Below are 22,537 nucleotides of genomic sequence, written 5' to 3'. Positions count from 1 at the left end.
CCACTTGCCTGAGGTGACCCTTTTTGTTTGTTTGTGATTTTTGTTCCTGTGTTATTTATTTGTTTATTTTTATTTTGGTAAGAACACATAATGAGATCTACCCTCTTAACATTTTTTATGTGAGCAGTACTGTGAATTATAAGCACAATGTTGTATAACAGATCTCTAGAACTTAATCATCTTGCAAAAATAAAACTTCATACATGTTGAAAAACAACTCCCCATTTCTCCCTCCCCTAGGCAACCACCATTCTACTTTTAGTTTCTATGAGTTTGACTATTTTAGCTACCTTGTATGAGTGGTATTGTATAGTAGTTGTACTTCTGTGACTGGCTTATTTCACTTAACATAATATCTTCAAGGTGCATTCATGTCACATATGGCAGGATTTCCTTCTTTCTTATGGCTGAATAACAAACATTTCATTGTATGTGTATATCACATCTGCCTTATCCATTCATCTACTGATGGACGTTTGAGTTGTTTTCACATCTTGGCTATTGTGAATAATGTTGTAATGAACATGAAAGTGCAGATATTTCTTCAAGATCCTGATTTCAATTCTTTTGGATAAATATACAGAAGCGGGATTGCTGGATTATATGGTAGTTCTATTTTTAACCTTTTAAGAAAATGCCATATGGTTTTCCATTGAGACAATCCTTTTATACCCACTCCTGGCAGATCAAAGCTATTTGAGGTTCATCCTCTTGAGATCCAAGGTCTATCACTTGCTTTCATTTCTCTGGCCATATACTTCTCTATTCGAGTCCCACAGAAGCTCTCCATTCATATTTTTCTATGTTCAGGTGAGATAATTTCTGGACACACATGAGATGCACTTAAAACTATCTCATAGTCTCACGGCTCTGCTGTGGTGGCCCAAATTTAAATGCTATCAGTCTCTTTGATACTCTCTGTTCTCCCATCCCTATCTTGATCTTAGCCACCAGTATTGTTTTCTGGCCAGCCTTTCACCTCTAATTTAATCACTAGGCATTGACTGAACTCCTAGTTCATCTTGACATCTAGGTCCTCAGAGAGGCAAGGTTGATTTCTAGTTGAGCTCCTGAAATGTTCCACTTGGTTACAAATTCAATTTCTTTCCTAGAAATTATTTCACCTTCCCAGGACTGTGCCTTGAGAACAGTAGCTACAATTGCAGTCATCACCTGATTTATGATGCTTTACTGTCCATCTTCACTATCTCTCTCAAAGTTCTATCCATATGTTGAGTTAATGAGAATATGGTAATAACCACTACCCCTGCATCTTGCAAGTCTTTCATGGTGGCAATAATTATTGTAGCTCTCCCAAGGATATGGTAACTTTTGGTTAATTATCCTGTTTGAGAAGGACAGTTACCAACTGGCCTCTGTAAGTCTCCATTCTGACTGGCTTCTAGTAGCATTAGATCCTTTGATGTCTGAGTATCAGCTCACAGCCAATGTCTAGCAATCCTTAAAATGTATTGATATTTCCCCTTTGCCCAGTGCATAGTCACCATGGTAAATGGAGGCAGGTTTCTTTGGAGAAAGCTAAGAAGAGAATACACTGTACAAATGCATGGTTTGTCTTTGGATCCTTTCGCAAGGTGACCTGTATTCCCTTCACACAAAGGGCTTGAACCTGTGGACTGGCTCTAGTCTAATTTAGTTAAGACCTATAAATTGTGGTGCCTTACTGTGGTTTGAATGTTTATGTCCCCCCAGATTTATATGTTGAAATTCTCACCCCCAAGGTGATACTATTAGGATGTGAGGACTTCAAGAGGTGATTAGATCATGGGGACAGGGCCCTCAAGAATAAGATTAGTGCCCTTATAAAACCTGAGTCCCCAGTGAGACACTTCACTCCTTCTACCATGTGAGGTTAGAGTGAGAAGATCTCTGTGTATGAGGAAGTGTGCCTGTCACCAGACACAGGGTCTTTCAGCATCTTGATCTTGGACTTCTCAGTTTCTGGAACTACGTGAAATAAATTTCTGTTGTTTATAAGCCACTCAGTCTGTAGTATTCTACTACAGAAGACCAAACAGGCTAAGAGAGGCCCCAATCTGATCTGTGTTCACAATACCTAGAAATTTTGGTTTACACAGACCAAGTAAGATTTCAGTAGGCCACCCATTTATTTCAGTTCTAGAAAATTGATCTTAGGCATCACCATTGCTTTCTCTCTAGAAAACCATATTTCAGTTCTAGAGACGTCATGATAAGTTGTAGTCATTACCAAGGATGTTTGTTTTTCTCTGATTATTGCTCCAGCCCTTCTACCAACAATACCCATACCCTTCTTGTCTTTGGCTACTGAGTGGCCTCTATACTGCAAGATCCATCATTCACAATTATTTCAGGGAATCAATTCATTTCAGTGGAAGTTTTTCCCACTGTAATTACCTGTCTGCAGAAGGCAGCTAGTGCAGAGCTTTCCAAATATGCAAGTGCTCCCCAGCAATGTACTTCTAAATATCTTGATTGGAGAAGGAATGTCCTTTAGGCCAACCTAGGTGACATAGGTAGGAGTAGATGAGTGGCTTGCTGTGATAAATCCACTCAAATGTTTTTGTCAGTGGAGCCTTCAAATTTCTTTATATTAGGATTTCTGGACCTTGGCACTATTGATAATTTTGGAGCAAATTATTCTTTGTGGAGAGAGACTGTCGAGTGCAGTATGGAATGTTTAACAGCATCTCTGGTCTTTACCCAGCAGTTCTTCTTAGTTATGAGAATGAAAAATGTCTCAAGAAATTGGCAAATATCACTTGGGGAGGGAGGGTAAAATTTCCCCCAGTTGAGAAACACTGCTCTATATTATTGAAGGAAATGTGGTTGAGTCTAGTTTCCAGGCAAATATAACTGTTATAGTATTTATCTATCTAAAAACACATCTATCTGCTTCAGCTAACACACTGAATCCACAGTTTTTAGTAAATGTACATATATCAATAAATTTGACTTGATGCATTTTGTTTGTTTTTTCCTGATCTAGTACCCTCAGAATTCATTCCCAGCATACTCCCCATATTTTTCCCAATGCAGTTGAGAGAATCCTTCAGTTATTTAACTTATAATCTGTCTCTCCTTGGCTTTGACTCTGAGCTCACGTCCCTGAGGTTTGCTGGTATCTGACTCAGTTATAGAACCCAGAGGCAATATGGAGTCGTGGGGCAGTTCTCAAGAAATACCAACACTCCCTTGCAAGATAACTGCCTCTAGTGAAGTGGAAGAGATATTCCATTCTCATCAAATATCCGCATACTCCACTACATTTTTTAGACTCCTTGCAATTACGGTGGACCATGTGACTAATCCTGGAAGATGTGCTTTGAAGAGAAATCATATGTGACACTTTTTGGCTGAGGCATGTAAGAGCTGGTTTGGGAACCTCTCCCTCTCTCTCCCACTGTGAAAGCTACCAGGTGCACCACCAGTTCAGCTGTGAGGTGACTGAGCTTCAGTCAATAGATAGAAACAGAGCTCCTTGCCTATTTGCATTGGACAAGTAGCAGGAGACAGAAATAAACTTTTGTTAGGTTTGTTATTGCAGCACAGACCATCCTATTCTAATTAATCCAGTAAGGTCATTAGAGAGTTTTCTATTATAGGGATGGTGGCTTAATTAGATAAGAGAGATGGCTGGCTTCTTCTGTCAAAAGAGAGTTAGTAGGCACTTGATTCTAAAACTACAGTTTATAATTTAAGTAAGTACTTCATCACTTGCATGTCATGAATAATCAATATTCATATTTTTGCTATCAAGGAAGTCATTACTGCAATCAACTTTAACTAGGTTAGATAAATAATCCCAGGCATCGAAACTTGAGAGTTTGCTCCTGAAATCACTTTTCTATAATAATTTCTTTTCCACTGGGAAGATACTTAGTAGTAAGGTTGCTGGATCTAATAGTTCTATTTTCAGTTCTTTGAGATATCGCCATAATATTTTCCATAGAGGTTGAACTAATTTACATTCCCACCAACAGTGTATGAGCATTCCCTTTTCTCTGCATTCATGCCAATATTTTTTTTGGCTTTTTAATAATAGCCATTCTGATTGATGTAACATGGTATCTTGGTGTAGTTTTAATTTGCATTTCTCTGATGAATAGTTATGTTGAACATTTTTTTCATGGGTGGTTGGCCACTTATATTTCTTTTGAGACATGTCTGTTCATGTCCTTTGCCAAGTTTTTAATGAAGTTGTTTGTTTTTTTCTTGTTGAGTTGTTTGAGTTTCTTATAGACTCAGGATATTAATCCTTTGTTGGAGGCATAATTTGTCAATATTTTCTCCAATTCTGAAGGTTGTCTGTTTATGCTGTTATTTCTTTGCTGTGCAGGCACTTTTTAGTTTGATTAAATCTCATTTGTCTATTTTTGTTTTGTTGTGTCTGCTTTTGGGGTCTTCATCATAAATTCTTTGCTTGGGCCGATGTCCAGAAGAGTTTTTCCCAGATTCCAGAATTTTTATAGTTTCAGGTCTTATGTTTAGTTCTTTAATACATCTTGAGTTAATTTTTGTATATGGTGAGAGATAGTGGTCCAGTTTTATTCTTCTGCATGTGGCTAGCCAGTATTCCCAGCACCATTTATTGAATAGAGAGTTCTTTCCCCATTGTTTATTTTTGTTGGTTTTATTGAAGATCAGTTGGTTTTAAGTATGTGGCTTTCTTTCTGGGGTCTATCTTTTTTTTTTTTTTTTTTTTTTTTTTTTGAGATGGAGTCTCGCTCTGTTGCCCGGGCTGGAGTACAGTGGTGCGATCTCGGCTCACTGCAACCTCTGCCTCCTGGGTTCAAGCAATTCTCTGCCTCAGTCTCCTAAGTAGCTAGGATTACAGGCGCCCACCACCACAGCCGGCTAATTTTTGTATTTTTAGTAGAGACAGGGTTTCACCATTTTGGCCAGACTGGTCTTGAACTCCTGACCTCATGGTCCACCTGCCTTGGCTCCCAAAGTGCTGGGATTACAGACGTGAGCCACCACGCCCGGCCTGGGGTCTGTATTCTGTTCCATTGATCTGTGTGTCTATTTTAGTACCAGTACCATGGTATTTTAGTTGCTGTAGCCTTGTAGTATAATTTGAAGTCAGTCAAGGTGATGTCTTCAGATTTGTTCTTTATGCTTAGGCGTACTTTGGCAATTCAGGCTATTTTTTGGTTTTATATATACTTTAGGATTTTTTTTCTAATTCTGTGGAAAATGAGATTGGTAATTTGACAGGGACTGATTACTTTGGGCAATATGGTCATTTGAGTGATATTGAGTCTTACAATCCATGAGCGTTGGGATGTTTTCCCATTTATTTGTGTCATCCACAATTTCTTTCATCAGCGTTTTGTAGTTCTCTTGGTGGAGATCTTTCACTTCCTTGATTAGATGTATTCCTTTGTACTTAACGCTTTATTCTGGCTGTTGTAAATGGCATTATGTTCTTGATTTGGCTCTTGCCTTGAATGTTAGTGGCAGATAGAAATGCTACTGATTTTACACATTTATTTTGTATCTTGAGACTTTACTGAAGTTTCTAATCAGATCTGGGAATCTTCCAGAGAAGTCTTTAGGATTTTGTAGGTATGTGATCATGTTGTCAGTGAACAATAATAATTTGACTTCCTCTTTCCCAATCTGAATGCCTTTTATTTCTTTCTCTTGCCTGATAGCTCTGGCTAGGGCTTCCACTACTATATTGAATAGGAGCGGTGGGAATGGACATCTTTGTCTCATCTCACTTCTTAGGGGACAAGAACTGGAGCTTGCTTTCAACTTTTCCCCATTCAGTATTATGTTAACTGTGGGTTTGTTACACATGGCTTTTATTTTGAGATACATTCCGTCTATGCCTAGTTTGTTAAGGGTTTTTATCATGAAAGGATGTTGGATTTTATCAAATGCTGTTCTGTGTCTATTTAGATGATCATATCGTTTCGTAATTCATCCTGTTTATGTGATGGATTATGTTTATTAATTTGTGTATGTTGAATCATCCTTGCACCCCAGGAATAAAGCCCACTTGATGATGGCGAATTATTTTTTGATGTGCTGCTCAATTCAGTTTGCTAGTATATTGCTGAGGATTTTTGTGCCTATGTTCATTAGGGATATTTGCCTGTTGTTTTCTGTTTTTGCTATCTTTTTGCAAGATTTTGACGTCAGGATGATACTAGTTTTGTAGAATGAGTCAGGGAGGAATCCCCCTTCCTCAATTTTTTGGAATATAAATTGGTACCAGATCTTTGTACATCTGGTGGAATTTAGCTGTGAAACCATTTGGTCCAGGGCCTTTTCTGATTTTGGTCCAGGGCCTTTTCTGATTGGTAGGTGTTTTATTACTGATTCAATTTCATTACTCGTTATTGGTGTGTTCTGGATTTCTATTTCTTCCTGGTTCAATCATGGGAAGTTGTGTGTTTCCAGGAATTTATTCATTTTCTCTAGATTTTCTAGTCTGTGCACATAGACATGTTCATAGTAGTCTCTGAATATATTTTGTATTTCTATTGGAGAAGTTGTAATGTCACCTTTGTTGTTTCTGGTTGTGCTTATTTGAATGTTCTTTTTTTCTGTTAATCTAGCTAGTGGTCTGTCAATCTTGTTTATCCTTTCAAAGGACAACTTTTCATTTTGTTGATCATTTTGGTCTGAATTTCATTTAGTTCTGCTCTAATTTTAGTTGTTTCTGTTCTGCTAGCTTTGTGTTTAGTCTTTTTGGTTTTATTTTTTTGTTTGTTTTTGTTTTTGTAATTCTGTTAGATGCAAGGTTAGTTTGTTCATTTGAAATCCTTCCATCTTCTTAATGTAGGCATTTAGCACTATAAATATTCCCCTTAAACACTGTTTTTGTCGTGTCCCAGAGGTTTTGGTATGTTGTGTCTCCATTTTTATTTGTTTCAAATAATTTGTCATTTCTGCCTTAATTTTATTGCTTACTGAAAAGTCATTCAGGAGCAAGTGGTTTATTTTCCATGTATTTATGTAGTTTTGAGAGTCCTTACTGGTATTGATTTCTATTTGTATTCCATTGTGGTTGGAGAGTATGGCTGGTATCATTGTGATGTTTTTTAATTCATGAGGACTTGCTTTATGGTTAAGCATGTGGTCAATCTTACAGTATGTTCCATATGCAGATGAGAAGAATGTATATTCTGTGGTTGTTGGGTGCAGTATTCTGTTAGAAGTCTATTAGGTCTAGTTGGTCAAGTGTTGAATTTACCTCCAGAATTTCTTTGTTAGTTTTCTGTCTCAATGAGCTGTCAAATGCTGTAAGTGGGGTGTTGAATTCCACCACTATTATTGTGTGGCTGCGTTAAGTCTTTTTTTTTTTAGGTCCAGAAGTAATTGTTTTGTGAATCTGGGTGCTCCAATGTTGGGTAAACATATATTTACGACAGTGAAATCTTCTTGTTGAACGGAACCCTTTATTGTTATGTAATGCCCTTTTTTGTCCTTTTTCACTGTTTTTGGTTTAAAGTATATTTTATATGATGCAAGAATAGTGACATTTACTCCTTTTTGTTTTCCATTTGAATGATAGACCTTTCTCCATCCCTTTACTTTGAGCCTATGGGTTTCATTACATGTGAGATAGATCTCTTAAAAACAGCAGAAGAATGAATACTGTTTTCTTAAATCCAATTTGCCAGTGTGTGTCTTTTATGTGGAATATTTAGGCCATTTATATTCAAGGTTAATATTGATATAGTGGTTTTGTTCCTTTCGTAGTGCTTTTAGCTAATTGATTTGTAGTCTTGATTATGTAGTTGCTTTATGGGTCCATAGGCTATGTGCTTCTGTGTGCTTTCGTGGTAGCAAACATCTTTCATTTCCATGTTTAGCACTCCCTTAAGCATCTCTTATAGGGCCAGTCTAGTGCTAACAAATTCCCTTAGTGATTGCTTGTCTGGGAAAGACTTTATTTGTACTTTGTTTATGAAGCTTAGTTTGGTGGAATATGAAATTCTTGACTGGGATTTCTTTTCTTTAAAAATGCTAAAAATGGGCCCCCAATCTTTTCTGGCTTGTAAGATTTCTGCTGAAAGTCTGTGTTAGTCTGTTGGGTTCCCCTTTAAGGATAATATGGCCATTTTCTTTATCTGTCTTTAAGATTTTCTTTTTTTGCATTGACCTTGGATAGTCTGATGACTATGTACCTTGGTGATGTTCATCTTATATAGCAACTCTCAGGACTTCTCTGGATTTCTTGTATCTGCATATTGACCTCTCTAGCCAGATTAGAGACATTTTCCTGAATTATATTCTCAAATATGTTTTCCAAGTTGCTTACTTTTCTTCTCTCTCTCAGGAATGCCAACAAGTCATAGGTTTCATTGCTTTACATAATCCTATATTTCTCAAAAGCTTTGTTAATTTTTTAAAAATAATTTTTTCTTCATTTTTGTCTGACTTGGTTGATTTGAAGGACTAGTCTGTGATTTTTTTTTCTTCTGCTTTGTCAAGTCTGTTGTTAATGCTTCCAACTGTAGTTTGAAATTCTTTTAGTAAATTTTCCAATTCCAGAAGTTCTGTTTGGTTATTTCTTAATATAACTATGTGGTCTTTCAAGTCTTTGATCATTTTGCTGGCTTGTTTGTGTTGGATTTTAACTTATCTCTTGTATCTTGTTGAGTTTCTTTGCCATCCACATTTTGAATTCTATATCTGTCATTTCAGACATTTCATTCTGGTAAGGATCATTGCTAGAAAGCTAGTACAATCCTTTGGAGGTGAAAAAACACTCTGGATTTTTGTATTGCCAGAGTTCTTATACTGGTTCCTTCTCATCTGAGGGAGCTGACATTTCTCCTTATTTCTTTTTAATTTGCTATTGTTTTGATGGGGAGTGTTGATTTTTTTATTGTTATTTTTTTCCCTTGAGGGTATGACTGTGTTGTTTATTGTGTATCATTGATTTGCCTTGTTTCTGGGTGCTTTCAGAGGACCAAGGCTCTGTAAGGGCTCCTTGGTTGCAGATATGCAGTGTCTTCCTCAAGTTTATTGTTGTAGTGATTTACTTTTATTTGGAGGTGTAATTCAGGCTTCCAGCCAGTAGATGATGCTGAGAAGTAAGAGCCAGCAAGAGGCTCTTTGCATGTGTTTACCCTTAGCATGGGCAGAAACAATGGAGAAGCATGAAAAGCACCCTCCCTCAGCTCATGCTCACCTTTGGTGGGGGTAGAGCCAATGGAGAAGCCCAGGAAGTGGCCTCTGTCAGTCCACACTCCCCAGGCCCCACCTGGAAGACCTTTTGTCATGTCGACAGCAGTGCACTGAAGAAGAAAGCTGGGGGTGAGAGATGAACTCTTAAGTTCATTTCCAGGCTTTGTTGGTGCTGCCTTATGTGGCTGGCACCATGCTCAAGTTTTCTTTGACTCAAGGGGGCTTTGGCAGGCTATGCACCTCTCTCCCTTAGGGCCACTTAGTACTGGGGGTTAGATCTCCAAGGAAGTGGTGTCCACCTCCCTCCTGTTCCTTGGAGCTAGTGGGGCACTGTCTCCCCACTGACCAAGGGAGCAGGCTGGGGCACCCACCAAGGACACACACAGACTGGTCCCAGAATACAAAGCTGTCCCTGGCTGTAAGTCTTGCCCTCCAGGAGAATCCTCAGCTTCAACAACTCTCCTCCCATACTGGTCTTGTGGTGAGAGAGAGCCTAATTCTAGCATCTACTGCTGGGACACTCTCCATACTCACCACTCAATTCTGGCAGTGGGAACCCTTCTCCTACTCCAGTGCTAGAACCCCAGTCTCTGGCCCAAAATTAAATGCCTGCTGTGGCTACTGCTTCCAGGTTGCAAAACAATGACTGCCTTTGTATAAGCCTGGATGGAAAATGGCATCCTCCTCTTGGTCCTGGGTCTGGGACAATGCAGTTTTTTCCCAGTGTCTCCATCTCTCTATCTCTCAGCCTCTCCCTAACTGTTATCTCTAGGGCTTGAGAGAAACAGGGTGCCCTCCCTTGGCACATATCCCTAGTGGAAAGGTGAATCACCAAGGGAGACTGACTGCCCCTCCCACACACCTTTTCAGCTGAATGCTGTCGCAAGGGCTGCTTGCCCACTTTCTCCTTCCCAGAATATGAGGTGTCCTTTGCTATTCCTGCAAATTGTCACCTTTCCTTTTGAATTAAAACTCAGAGTTGATTTTTACACACTATTTTGCTGTTTCCAAGTGGCCGAGGCATCCTAAAAGTCTTTTTGTCACCATCTTGGGAAAAGAAAAGGTTTTCTTTCTTTTAAAAAAATTGAATTGAGATAACCAAGGTGAAATAAAAATGCATACCTTGTAGCAAAGAAGATATGAAGTATTTGATTTTTTTACTTGTGATTTAAAATCTCATCTCTTTCTTTAAAACCACAGTCTTGGCTGGGTGTGGTGGCCCATGCTTATAATCTCAGCACTTTGGAGGTGGAAAATGTCTGTATATTTAACAAGCTCAACAATTTCATATACCAGGCACCTGTTGACTGCTTAAGGATGGCCTAGATGCTCTCCATGGTGTTCACAGCAAGCATCCTGGACCCTATTTGCTTGTTTCTCATCTATTCTCTCTTACCTTGTTTAACAAAATCAGGAACTGAAGAGTGGGCCAGTCTGAAACAAGATCAGAAATAGGCTGGTCAGTGTGGCCTCCTTGGCTTCAGCTATCCTAATCAGATCCAAGGACTGCAGCTGGAGACTGGGCCACGCCCTCTAGGCCTGCTCACTGCCAGCACAGTATTTGTATGACCCAGATACAACCTCTGCTTACAGGGTGACTTATTTTCTTTGTATTTTCTTTTCCATATGCTTGAGTTCATATTATATATTCAATTTGGAAACTCTTTTTTACTAAGTTTCTCAACATAAGTACTTTTAAAATTAATATATATTTAATTTTTAATTAATAGATTTTATATATAACTGTACACCATTCTATCTTGTGTATATACAATAATTTACCTTGCCTTTCCTGTGCTTTTAGACTTTTAGGTGTTTTATTTTTGTTTTTACTTTTATGAATCATGAAATAATGAACACTGTCATGTCTAAGGCGTCTGTTGTCCTTAGGATTATTTCTTTGAGCAAAAATGCCAGGAGTGGAATTCCTGGATGAAAAGATAAGGTTGTTGAATAATTATTGCAAATTCTTTGCAAAGGTTATGTAATAATTTATATGTCAACATCACTGATTAGATTTCCTTCTTCATACTACGTGGAGTTCATTTAAAAACAAAAATAAACATTATACACCATATTCTGCTATAACACAAATCAACTATGCTCCCTAAACCAAAGGAAACTGTAGTGTGAAGTCCTTTGACACAGGGGCTGTCTCTTTTTTTCCATCATTTCTTGACAGTAGATTACCAATTGTAAGTAATAAAACCACCTAGAGGGGCTGCATTTCAGAGTAGAGCTCAAAGCTAGACAGCTCCTAGTGTGATGCCCTTTTTGGCTGGCTTTCTGTCCAAGTAATTCCATCTCATTCATGTTCAATCAACTAGGAACTTCTACTAGAATTTTGAAAATGATTTGTCATTAGTGATAAATAGTTTAAAATGTTTAAAAGCAAAGTGGCACTATTAAATTTTAACTTTTTCATTCATTTATTTCTTACTACACATATTAATAGCAGAAACATTTAATCTTGGTGATGCATTATAATTTTTATTAAGAAAATAATCACATTCCTTAATCTTTCAGGGACATATATGGTCCTACAGTGGTATTGACTGAATCTCATTTCATATTAATCCATACACTAGTTTTAGCTTGATACAGATATACAACTAAGACTTTGCTCTTAAAAAAATAAGTGTAGGGTTTTTTGTTTTGTTTTGTTTTACAGGAAGTTACTGGGACAACCAGTGAAATATGACTAGGTCTGCAGATTTGATAATATTACTGAATAATATTGTTAACATCTTAATTTTAAAATATACTGACTATGTAGGTGGTAATGGAACATCCTAGATTCATGGCTGCAGCTTACTTTTACATAGTTCAGGAAAAAAATTGTACGTATATATACATACATATTTGTGTGTGTGTTTGTGTGTGTGTGTGTAAGAGAGAAAAATAAAGCACATATATGAAAATGTTAACTGTTAGGAGATCTAGATAGATATACAGAAATTCTATGTACTATTCATGCACCTTTTCTATAAGTCTGAAATTATTTCAAAATAAATTTTTTTTTTTAATTATACTTTAAGTTTTAGGGTACATGTGCACATTGTGCAGGTTAGTTACATATGTATACATGTGCCATGCTGGTGCACTGCACCCACTAACGCGTCATCTAGCATTAGGTATATCTCCCAGTGCTATCCCTCCCCCCTCCCCCCACCCCACCACAGTCCCCAGAGTGTGATATTCCCCTTCCTGTGTCCATGTGATCTCATTGTTCAATTCCCACCTATCAGTGAGAATATGCGGTGTTTGGTTTTTTGTTCTTGCGATAGTTTACTGAGAATGATGGTTTCCAATTTCATCCATGTCCCTACAAAGGACATGAACTCATCATTTTTTATGGCTGCATAGTATTCCATGGTGTATATGTGCCACATTTTCTTAATCCAGTCTATCATTGTTGGACATTTGGGTTGGTTCCAAGTCTTTGCTATTGTGAATAATGCCGCAATAAACATACGTGTGCATGTGTCTTTATAGCAGCATGATTTATAGTCATTTGGGTATATACCCAGTAATGGGATGGCTGGGTCAAATGGTATTTCTAGTTCTAGATCCCTGAGGAATCGCCACACTGACTTCCACAAGGGTTGAACTAGTTTACAGTCCCACCAACAGTGTAAAAGTGTTCCTATTTCTCCACATCCTCTCCAGCACCTGTTGTTTCCTGACTTTTTAATGATTGCCATTCTAACTGGTGTGAGATGATATCTCATAGTGGTTTTGATTTGCATTTCTCTGATGGCCAGTGATGATGAGCATTTTTTCATGTGTTTTTTGGCTGCATAAATGTCTTCTTTTGAGAAGTGTCTGTTCATGTCCTTTGCCCACTTTTTGATGGGGTTGCTTGTTTTTTTCTTGTAAATTTGTTTGAGTTCATTGTAGATTCTGGATATTAGCCCTTTGTCAGATGAGTAGGTTGTGAAAATTTTCTCCCATGTTGTAGGTTGCCTGTTCACTCTGATGGTAGTTTCTTTTGCTATGCAGAAGCTCTTTAGTTTAATTAGATCCCATTTGTCAATTTTGGCTTTTGTTGCCATTGCTTTTGGTGTTTTGGACATGAAGTCCTTGCCCACGCCTATGTCCTGAATGGTAATGCCTAGGTTTTCTTCTAGGGTTTTTATGGTTTTAGGTCTAACGTTTAAGTCTTTAATCCATCTTGAATTGATTTTTGTATAAGGGGTAAGGAAGGGATCCAGTTTCAGCTTTCTACATATGGCTAGCCAGTTTTCCCAGCACCATTTATTAAATAGGGAATCCTTTCCCCATTGCTTGTTTTTCTCAGGTTTGTCAAAGATCAGATAGTTGTAGATATGCGGCGTTATTTCTGAGGGCTCTGTTCTGTTCCATTGATCTATATCTCTGTTTTGGTACCAGTACCATGCTGTTTTGGTTACTGTAGCCTTGTAGTATAGTTTGAAGTCAGGTAGTGTGATGCCTCCAGCTTTGTTCTTTTGGCTTAGGATTGACTTGGCGATGCGGGCTCTTTTTTGGTTCCATATGAACTTTAAAGTAGTTTTTTCCAATTCTGTGAAGAAAGTCATTGGTAGCTTGATGGGGATGGCATTGAACCTGTAAATTACCTTGGGCAGTATGACCATTTTCACGATATTGATTCTTCCTACCCATGAGCATGGAATGTTCTTCCATTTGTTTGTGTCCTCTTTTATTTCCTTGAGCAGTGGTTTGTAGTTCTCCTTGAAGAGGTCCTTCACATCCCTTGTAAGTTGGATTCCTAGGTATTTTATTCTCTTTGAAGCAATTGTGAATGGGAGTTCACTCATGATTTGTCTCTCTGTTTGTCTGTTGTTGGTGTATAAGAATGCTTGTGATTTTTGTACATTGATTTTGTATCCTGAGACTTTGCTGAAGTTGCTTATCAGCTTAAGGAGATTTTGGGCTGAGACGATGGGGTTTTCTAGATAAACAATCATGTCGTCTGCAAACAGGGACAATTTGACTTCCTCTTTTCCTAATTGAATACCCTTTATTTCCTTCTCCTGCCTGATTGCCCTGGCCAGAACTTCCAACACAATAAAAAATTTTTAAAGTCAATAATAAATAGACCTGAAAAGAGCCCTCTTACATTAAAGCTTTCCTCTATACACATCTTGTATCATATCAATGCTAGCATTTATTTAATAATTTTAATAGAAAGGACAGATGATAGTCTGTAGATTAGCATTTTCATTTATAAATTATGTGCTATGCTGGTTATGGAAGCATCACTAAAAACATTTAAATGGGTTATGGCAAAGCTAAAGCTAAAAATTAATTGTCCTTTCATTTGGAATCTGTGCTCTGCAAACTAATTATGTATTCAAAATAATCTTAATATGTATTCATCATGAATATTATGAATCTGCATTAAAATCATTGTTCAATTCAATGTAATAATTATTCAGTGAAAGCCTTAAGATTCCAAAATATTAATTTTCTTATTGATTTGTACATCCAGTTTGTATCAAACAAATAAATATATTAATAGTCATGATTTATTTGGGATTCATTGACTTTTATTAAGCACTTCTAATTTGCTAAATACTATGTATATTACATGATAGGAAATAGTCACTGTTTATTTTCAAGGTGTTTCCTAAGACTGAATAACAACATCTTGAGCAAGGCTGGCACTGTGCCAGGTTTTAATAAGCTGCCACTCCTCTCCTCCTTTTTCCAGATGAGAAGAGGACAGCTGACATGTGCTGCTCGGGGATGTGGGAAGAGACTGCAGGTGAGTGAGTATGCACCTCCTCCCAGTGAGCAGCTTCCTCAGCTGGCTGTCATCTCTTCTTCAGGAAAGTCATATATTTGGGGGCTGTGCAGTCATTCAGAGGACACTGCTCTATGGCTCACTTCGAGATGACTTTGCAGAAGCAAGGAATTCTGGAAATAAGGCAGGCTGAGTTTGGCCTTGGCCAGAGCTGTGTGGCAGATGGAAGCCATGGGAGGGAGTCAAAAAGCTTGGCTGGGCTCAGTTTAGCTGGAAACCCAGGACAAGACAGCAAGAAGATGCCCAGATGTCAGAGAATTCCCATTTCTTTTTTCTAAATAATCTCCTTCACAGTTGCCTTTCCTTTAATTGACTTCCAAAGGTTTAGCTATGTGCTTTATACCAATTTCAAACTCTTACCTTTACCTGTGCTCATGCCTTTGTTTCTTTGCTTAAGAGTGTTTCTCCCAATGTCCAATTAGATAATAAAAGCTCCTTTTCACTCTTTTGTTTAAGGGCAAGAGTTTAGAGGTTAGCTGTTTAGGGTTCAATTCGAGACTCTTCCTTTTACTCCAGCACTAAGACTTTGGACAAGTATTTAAAGTCTTCCAGTCTAAGCCTTCACATCTGTAAAATGAGAACAATAACAATGACAATTGTCACCTCTACCTGTATCTATCCCTGTCTTCTTTTAGATTTTGGCCTTGGGATTCTGGATTACTTAAAACAAAAGTAAGACACAAATATCTCCCTAACCTTATTATATCTCGTAGAAGATGGCAGATGGGTGACGACTGGTGCAAGCTCACACAGGAAAGAAAAATTTCATAAGCATTGAATAGTTGTGTTACTAATTAGTGGGACAATCTTCGTAACTCCTTCTTCCCCCACTTCTGCCCAATATGTAATAATAGGCATGCTCTGAATAATTGTACTCAAATAAGAAATTACTCCTCCAAAGTTTCTGAGTGAAGCTCAGCTTTGTGCTTTGGGACACACAAGTCTACCAGTTATGTCAATTATATACCAGGGCAGTAGAAGCAATGGCACTGAGACCAACCAGGTGGCCACAAAATACTACAAATAGGAAACATTCGGAAAATAGAATAATTAATTGGGACAACCAAAAGGACAAGAGTAAGAAAACATATGACCATTCAAGGCTATTCCACCTTGAAGAAATTCAAGGCCACTCAGTTTGTATTTTATACAACATTCTGTGATGCCACCAGGAATATTGCTGGACCCACAATTTGGGCACAAAGAAAAATTCCAAAGTTTTTACTGTCCAGGTTTCTTCCAAATTCATTTTACTATTAGGATTTTTGTGATTATTGTTATGACTCAGTAGTAGCAGAGGTTTTCATCTTCATAGCACTAAACTCTTCAACGTTTGCTTGTAAAAGTTGAGAGTGAAAATGTAAAAGTCCTCTCCTCTCCTCTCCTCTCCACAGTGTCTGGTACATTGTGAGTGTTCAGAAAATGTTAGTTGGCATTATTACAAATATTATATGTGTTATTGAATACTGACACACATGGAATAAAGCTCCTTTAAATGCTTGATGAATCTGACTGTCAAATTATTCTAGCATCTTCACTTTATACTCTTACCAATAAATAGAATCTACACATCAAACCTACCTGACATTTCCCACAAACCAAACCTGAGGACATTTGCTAGAAGGGAGAGAGCTGGTCAAGACAAACTGTGGGAGCAAGTAATTTTTGAAGACAATTTCCAGATCTACACTTGACTCAGCTATAGTTGAAGGTCATTTTCTCCCAGGCCAGAGAGAAATTTGTTAGCTCTGCTCATTCATAGAAGGTAAGAATCTGAGTCTCTGGGAACACAGTGGGGGAGCTTCATAAATATATTTAATATAAGGTCTGTGGGTCTCAGGAGCCATGTGTTTGTTCATATGAGCAAATTTGGTGTAGCAGAAACAGGAACTCTCAAGAAAATGACCTGATTCTCCTCCTTTCCCTTTGTCTACTGATGGGGATAGATCAGGAGGGGGATTGTCAGGAGCCCTCTGTGTCCTTGCTGGTGGACAGCTCTGTTCCACATATCTGAGTGGCTGAGTGCAGTTAAAATCAGATACTGAGGTAAATAATTAGCCACTAACTGCTTAGATTGTGAGGCTGAAGGTACTACTTCCAAGTAGTTTCCTTTTTGCAGTTTTCTCACCTCTACTGGGACTACAACATCAAAATGCAAGCTGTAGAAAATCAAACAAAGAAGAATTTACATGTTCTGGAATCAAGACTCTGTCACTCCTATTTTATTTACCTCACTCAAATAGATTTGATGAAGGATGTTTTGACGACTCTCTCTCTAAATAGTTGGAACATCCATATAAATGATTGTTCTATAGCTTTCAAGAAAATTCTGTCGTACTGGCTCACAAATTCTTTTTACCCAGCTCTAATTACATAAATTGTTATATAAGCAGATGTCTGTTATACCAAAGTCTATTTCACTTGGGAACTATAATTTTTCTGAGTTCAAATGCTATTGGGCTAAAAAAAAAAGCACATCTTTTGATGTTACGAAGAAACATTTTTATGTTGTCAGGATATGAGTGGAAAAGCAATCATCAACCAGGCTCCTTCACCTTCGTGCTCCAGGAACAGAGAAAAGACGCAGAAGAGAGATCACACTACAGGCATCCCTAATGTAACTCTTTATCTTGGTTAAATTAATTCATTTTTCCAAAATATACACTTGTATCAATGACTCCCTTACAACCATTATAAAGACAATATATAAAAATGTTTTCTCTGTGGAGTATTATTTGATCTTTATAAAACAGTAATAAAATTGGTAGAGTATGAGTGATGGTCTTCCATTAGGCAAGACTCCTATCTAAAAGCCACTGTGCTAACATTCATTAATTCACTCACTCATGCATGAATGAAACAATATTTCTGAGTATTTACTATGTGCCAGACACTGTGTTTCTGCTCATACAGAGCAACGAATAGAAATGGACTTGAATGCTGCCCTTAAGAAACATATAGTCTAGTTGAGGAGGTAGACATTAATTAATTAATTGCAAAAGTTGATAATTATAAGCCATGATAAACTTATGATTTGAAAGTATAAGAAGTATGAGAGTATGTAGAAGTACAAGGAGGATTCCTTCAGGAAATGAATTTTGAACTGAATCTAAATAACAGGTAGGGCAGAATAGGTAAAAGGAACAGAATGAATTAGGAAAAAACATGTTATGCTGTTTGATTCTAAAAAATATCAACTTAATTGGAACTCAGGGAAAGAGGAGGCAAGGAGTCAGATGAGAAATAAGGTAGATGTAAGATGTCAGGTTGTGAAAAGCCATGTATGCCATGTTAATTTTTTTCTTCATCTTGAGTGAGAGCATTATACATTTTATTCAGAAATTACCCATAATTTATTCAGAAATTACCCATAATCAGATTTGTATTTTTAAAAGTTTAGTCTGGCTATAGTGTGAAGAATCATCAGGAAGGGCCAAAAACGGATGAGAGAGACCCATTGGGAGGCATTCTGCAGCCAGTTGTCTGTCTAAGAAAAGATTGGAGTTTGAAACTAGGTCTTGGTGGAGGGAATAGAGAGAAATTGACAGATTTTTAAAAGATATTTAAAAGATAAAGTTCACACTCTTCAAAATAGCCGAGATATGAAAACAGCCTTTGTATCCATTAGTGAATGAGTGGATAAAGAAACTCTGATGGAGTGGGGCCAAGTTGACTGACTGGAAGCAGCTATGGTGCATGGCACTCACGGAGAGGAACAAAAGGGGCAGAAAATACAGCACCTTCAACTGAAACATACAGGTACTTGCACTGGGGCTGATCAAGGAAACAGCTCAACCCAGGGAGAATGGAGAAAAGCAGGGCAGAGTGACAGCCCATGCAGGCGTGACACAGAGCCAAGGGAACCTCCCCTACCGAGGGAAGTGGTTAATGAATGTGCAATCCTGGGAAACCATGATTCTCCCACAGACCTTTGAAACTCTCGTGTCAGGAGATCCCCTCATGAACCCACTCCACTGGGGCCTTCAGTCTGACACACAGAGCTGTGTGAAGTCTCAGCAGAGCAGCTACTCAGGTGTGCACAGAGTCTCAGGAGCTTTACATACTCTGGCTCCAGGATCCCTGGTAAAAGTGACTGCAACTCAGGGAAGGCAGGTGGTCCACAGGTACCCCTAGGAAGGGGGTGGAATCCAGGGGTCCAAGCAGCATTGGTCTGAGGGCCCCACTTCCATGGTGCCTCACAGAATAAGACTCACTGGCTTGGAATTCCAGCCAGTCCCTGGCAATAGTGTTGTGCCTTCCCAGGACAGGTTGGTGTTCCTGACGGGAGGGGTGGGCCACTATCTTTGCTGTTTGAATGACCCAGCTTTTCCAGCCTGCAGGCTTCAGAGAGTCCAGACTGACTGGGGAGAGAAGGGATCCCCCAGCACAGCACAGCTGCTCCACAAAAATTTGGCCAGACCATTTCTTTAAACAGGATCCCAATCCATTCATCATCTCTGGGCAGGACCTCCAAACTGGGGCCTACAGCCACCTCTGCCTGTGTTCTCCTGTAGACAGAGTTTCGATTTCTCTTTGGGATGAAGTACCTGGGAGGAGAGGAGGGCCACTATCTTTGCTGTTCCAGCCTGCCGGCTTTGGCGAGCCCAAGCCTACTGGGGCAGAAGCAATACCCCAGTAAGGCAAAGCTGCTCTACAAAAGTGTGGACAGAGTGGTTCCTTAAGCAGGTCTCTGATCTATTCCCCCTCACTGGGCAGGACTTCCTAACTAGGGCCTCCAGCCAGTTGGGTCGATGTTCTCTGGCCAACTGAGGTTTGAAAATTTCCTGGGACAGACTCCTAGAAGAAAGAGTGACTGCCATCTTTGCTGTTTCAGCAACTTAGCTGTTCCGGTCTCCAGGCTTTGGAGAGCCCAGGCTTACCACAGACGGAAGCAATACAACAGCACAGCACAGCTACTCTAGGAAAGCATGGCTAGATCACTTCCTTAAGTGGATCCCTGATCCCATTCCTCCTGACTGTGCGAGACCTCCTAACCAGGGTCTCCAGCGACCTCCTGCAGGTGCATTTGGGCTGGCAACATGTCTGTACCCCACTGGAATGGAGCTCCCAGAGAAAGGGGCAGGCTGCCACTTTGCTGTTTTGCAGGCTTCACTGGTGATATCTTCAGGTACCAGAAAATCTGAGGCAACTAGGGACTGGAGCAGATGCCCAGCAAACCTCAGCAGCCCTACGGAAAAGTGGCCAGACAGTTAAAAGAAAACAAAGAACAAACCCAAAACCGCATCCAAATGTTAGCAATCCCAAAGATTGATGGTAGATAAGCCCACAAATATGCAAAAGAATGTGCTCCTTTAGATCAAGAATGCAAAAACTCAAAAAGCCAGAGTGCTCTTTCCTTCAAATGACCACATTACCTCTTCAGCAAGGGTTCAGAACCAGGCTGAGGCTAAGATGGCTGAAATGACAGGAGGAGAAATCAGGATATGGATAGGAATGAACTTCACTGAGCTAAAGGAGCACATTCTAACTCAATGCAGGGAAGCTAAAAATCATGATAAAACATTGCAGGAACTGGGCTAACAAGGTGAAACCCCGTCTTTACTAAAAATACAAAAAATTAGCCGGGCGCGGTGGCGGGCGCCTGTAGTCCCAGCTACTCGGGAGGCTGAGGCAGGAGAATGGCGTGAACCCAGGAAGCGGAGCTTGCAGTGAGCCGAGATTGTGCCACTGCAGTCCACAGTCCGGCCTGGGCGACAGAGCGAGACTCCGTCTCAAAAAAAAAAAAAAAAAAAATTGCAGGAACTGACAGTAAAAATAGCTAGTATAGTGAAGAACGTAACCCATCTGATAGAGCTGAAAAACACAGTACAGGAATTTTATAATGCAATCACAAGTATTAATAGCAGAATAGACCAAGCAGAGAAAAGAATCTCAAAGCCTGAAGACTGTCTTTCTGAAATCAGGCTGGCAGACAAGAACAGAGAAGAAAGAATGAAAAGGAATGAACAAAACCTCTGAGAAATGTGGGATTATATAGAGACTTAATCTACAACTGATTGGTGTACCTGAAAGAGATGGAGCGAATGGAACCAATTTGGAAAACTTACTTCAAGATGTCATCCATAAGAACTCCCCCAACCTAGCTAGACAGGCCAAGATTCAAATTCCGAAAATGCAGAGTAAGGAAATGCAGGAAATTCAGGAAATTCCCAGTAAGATACTCCAGGAGAAGATCATCCCCATGACACATAGTTATCAGATTAATCAAGGTCAAAATGAAAGAAACAATAGTAAGGGCATACTAAGAGAAAGGCCAGATTACCTACAAAGGGAAGCCCATCAGACTAACAGCAGACCTCTCAGTGGAAACCCTACAAGCCAGAAGTAATTGGAGGCTAATATTCAACATTCTTAAAGAAAAGAAGTACCAACTGAGAATTTCATATTTGCCCAAATTAAGCTTCAAAAGTAAAGAAGAAATAAGATCCTTTAGAGACAAGCAAATGCTGAGAGAGTTGATAAGCACCAGACATGCCTTAGAAGAGCTTCTAAAGGAAGCACTAAATATGGAAAGGAAAAACTTTTACCAGCCATTACAAGAACACACTGGAGTACACAGACCAGTGACACTATAAAGCAGCCACATAGGCCAGGCGCAGTGGCTCACGCCTGTAATCCCAACACTTTGGGAGGCTGAGGTGGGCAGATCACGAGGTCAGGAGTTCCTGTCCAACCCGGCCAATATGGTGAAACCCCATCTCTACTAAAAATACAAAAATTAGCCAGGTGTGGTGGCACATGCCTGTATCCCAGCTACTTGGGAGGCTGAGGCATGAGAATTGCTTGAACCCAGGAGGTGGAGGTTGCAGTGAGCTGAGATTGTGTCATTGCACTCCAGCCTGGATGACAGATCAAGATTCCATCTAAAAATCAATAAATAAATAAATAAAGCATCCGCATAAACAAGTCTGCAAAACAATCAGGTAGCATCATGATGACAGGATCAAATCCACACATAACAATACTAACCTTAAATATAAATTGGATAAATACCCCAATTAAGAAACACAGTGGCAAGCTGGATAAAGAACCAAGACCCATCAGTATGTTGTCTTCAAGAGACCCATCTCACATGCAATAACATCCACAGGCTTAAAATAAAAGGATGAAGGAAAATTTACCAAGCAAATGGAAAACAGAAAAAAAAAAAATCCCAGTGGTTGCAATTCCAGTTTTTGACAAAACAGACTCTAAATCAACAAAGATTATAAAAAAGAAGGGCATTACATAATGGTAAAGGGTTCAATTCAGCAAGAAGAGCTAACTATCCTAAACATATATGTACCCAACACAGGAGCATCCAGATTTATAAAGCAAGTTTTTAGAGGCCTCCAAAGAGACTTAGACTCCTACACAATGATAGGAGGAAATTTTACCATCCCACTAACAATGTTAGATTATCAAGACAGAATATTAAGAAAGATATTCAGGACCTGAACTCAGGTCTGGATCAAAGGGACCCGATAGGTATCTACAGAACTCTCCATCCAAAAGCAACAGAATATACATTCTTCTCATTGCCAAATATCTTACTCTAAAATCAATCACATAATCACAAGTAAAACACTTCTCAGC

The 22,537-nt window shown here is 39.0% G+C and overlaps 1 protein-coding gene across 2 annotated transcripts in view; it reads left to right on the top strand.

Annotated features, from left to right (window-relative positions):
- EPM2A (EPM2A glucan phosphatase, laforin) overlaps positions 1-22,537 on the top strand; it is a 352,671-nt gene that overhangs the window by 218,600 nt on the left and 111,534 nt on the right. Inside the window, exons 4-5 of one of the 2 annotated variants that reach the window (XM_011536113.3) lie at positions 14,849-14,902; positions 16,503-16,681. In XM_011536113.3, the coding sequence (XP_011534415.1) occupies positions 14,849-14,902; positions 16,503-16,549 (101 nt within the window). In that variant the 3' untranslated portion in view covers positions 16,550-16,681. Of the gene's footprint in view, positions 1-14,848; positions 14,903-16,502; positions 16,682-22,537 lie in introns of those variants that run through there. The other variant, XM_024446550.2, reaches the window with a different exon arrangement.

Source organism: Homo sapiens, chromosome 6 (genome assembly GCF_000001405.40).
Source record: "Homo sapiens chromosome 6, GRCh38.p14 Primary Assembly".
Taxonomy (NCBI): Eukaryota; Metazoa; Chordata; class Mammalia; order Primates; family Hominidae; genus Homo; species Homo sapiens.
The sequence above is the reverse complement of the archived record's forward strand: the minus strand, read 5'-3'. Positions and strand labels throughout refer to the sequence as shown.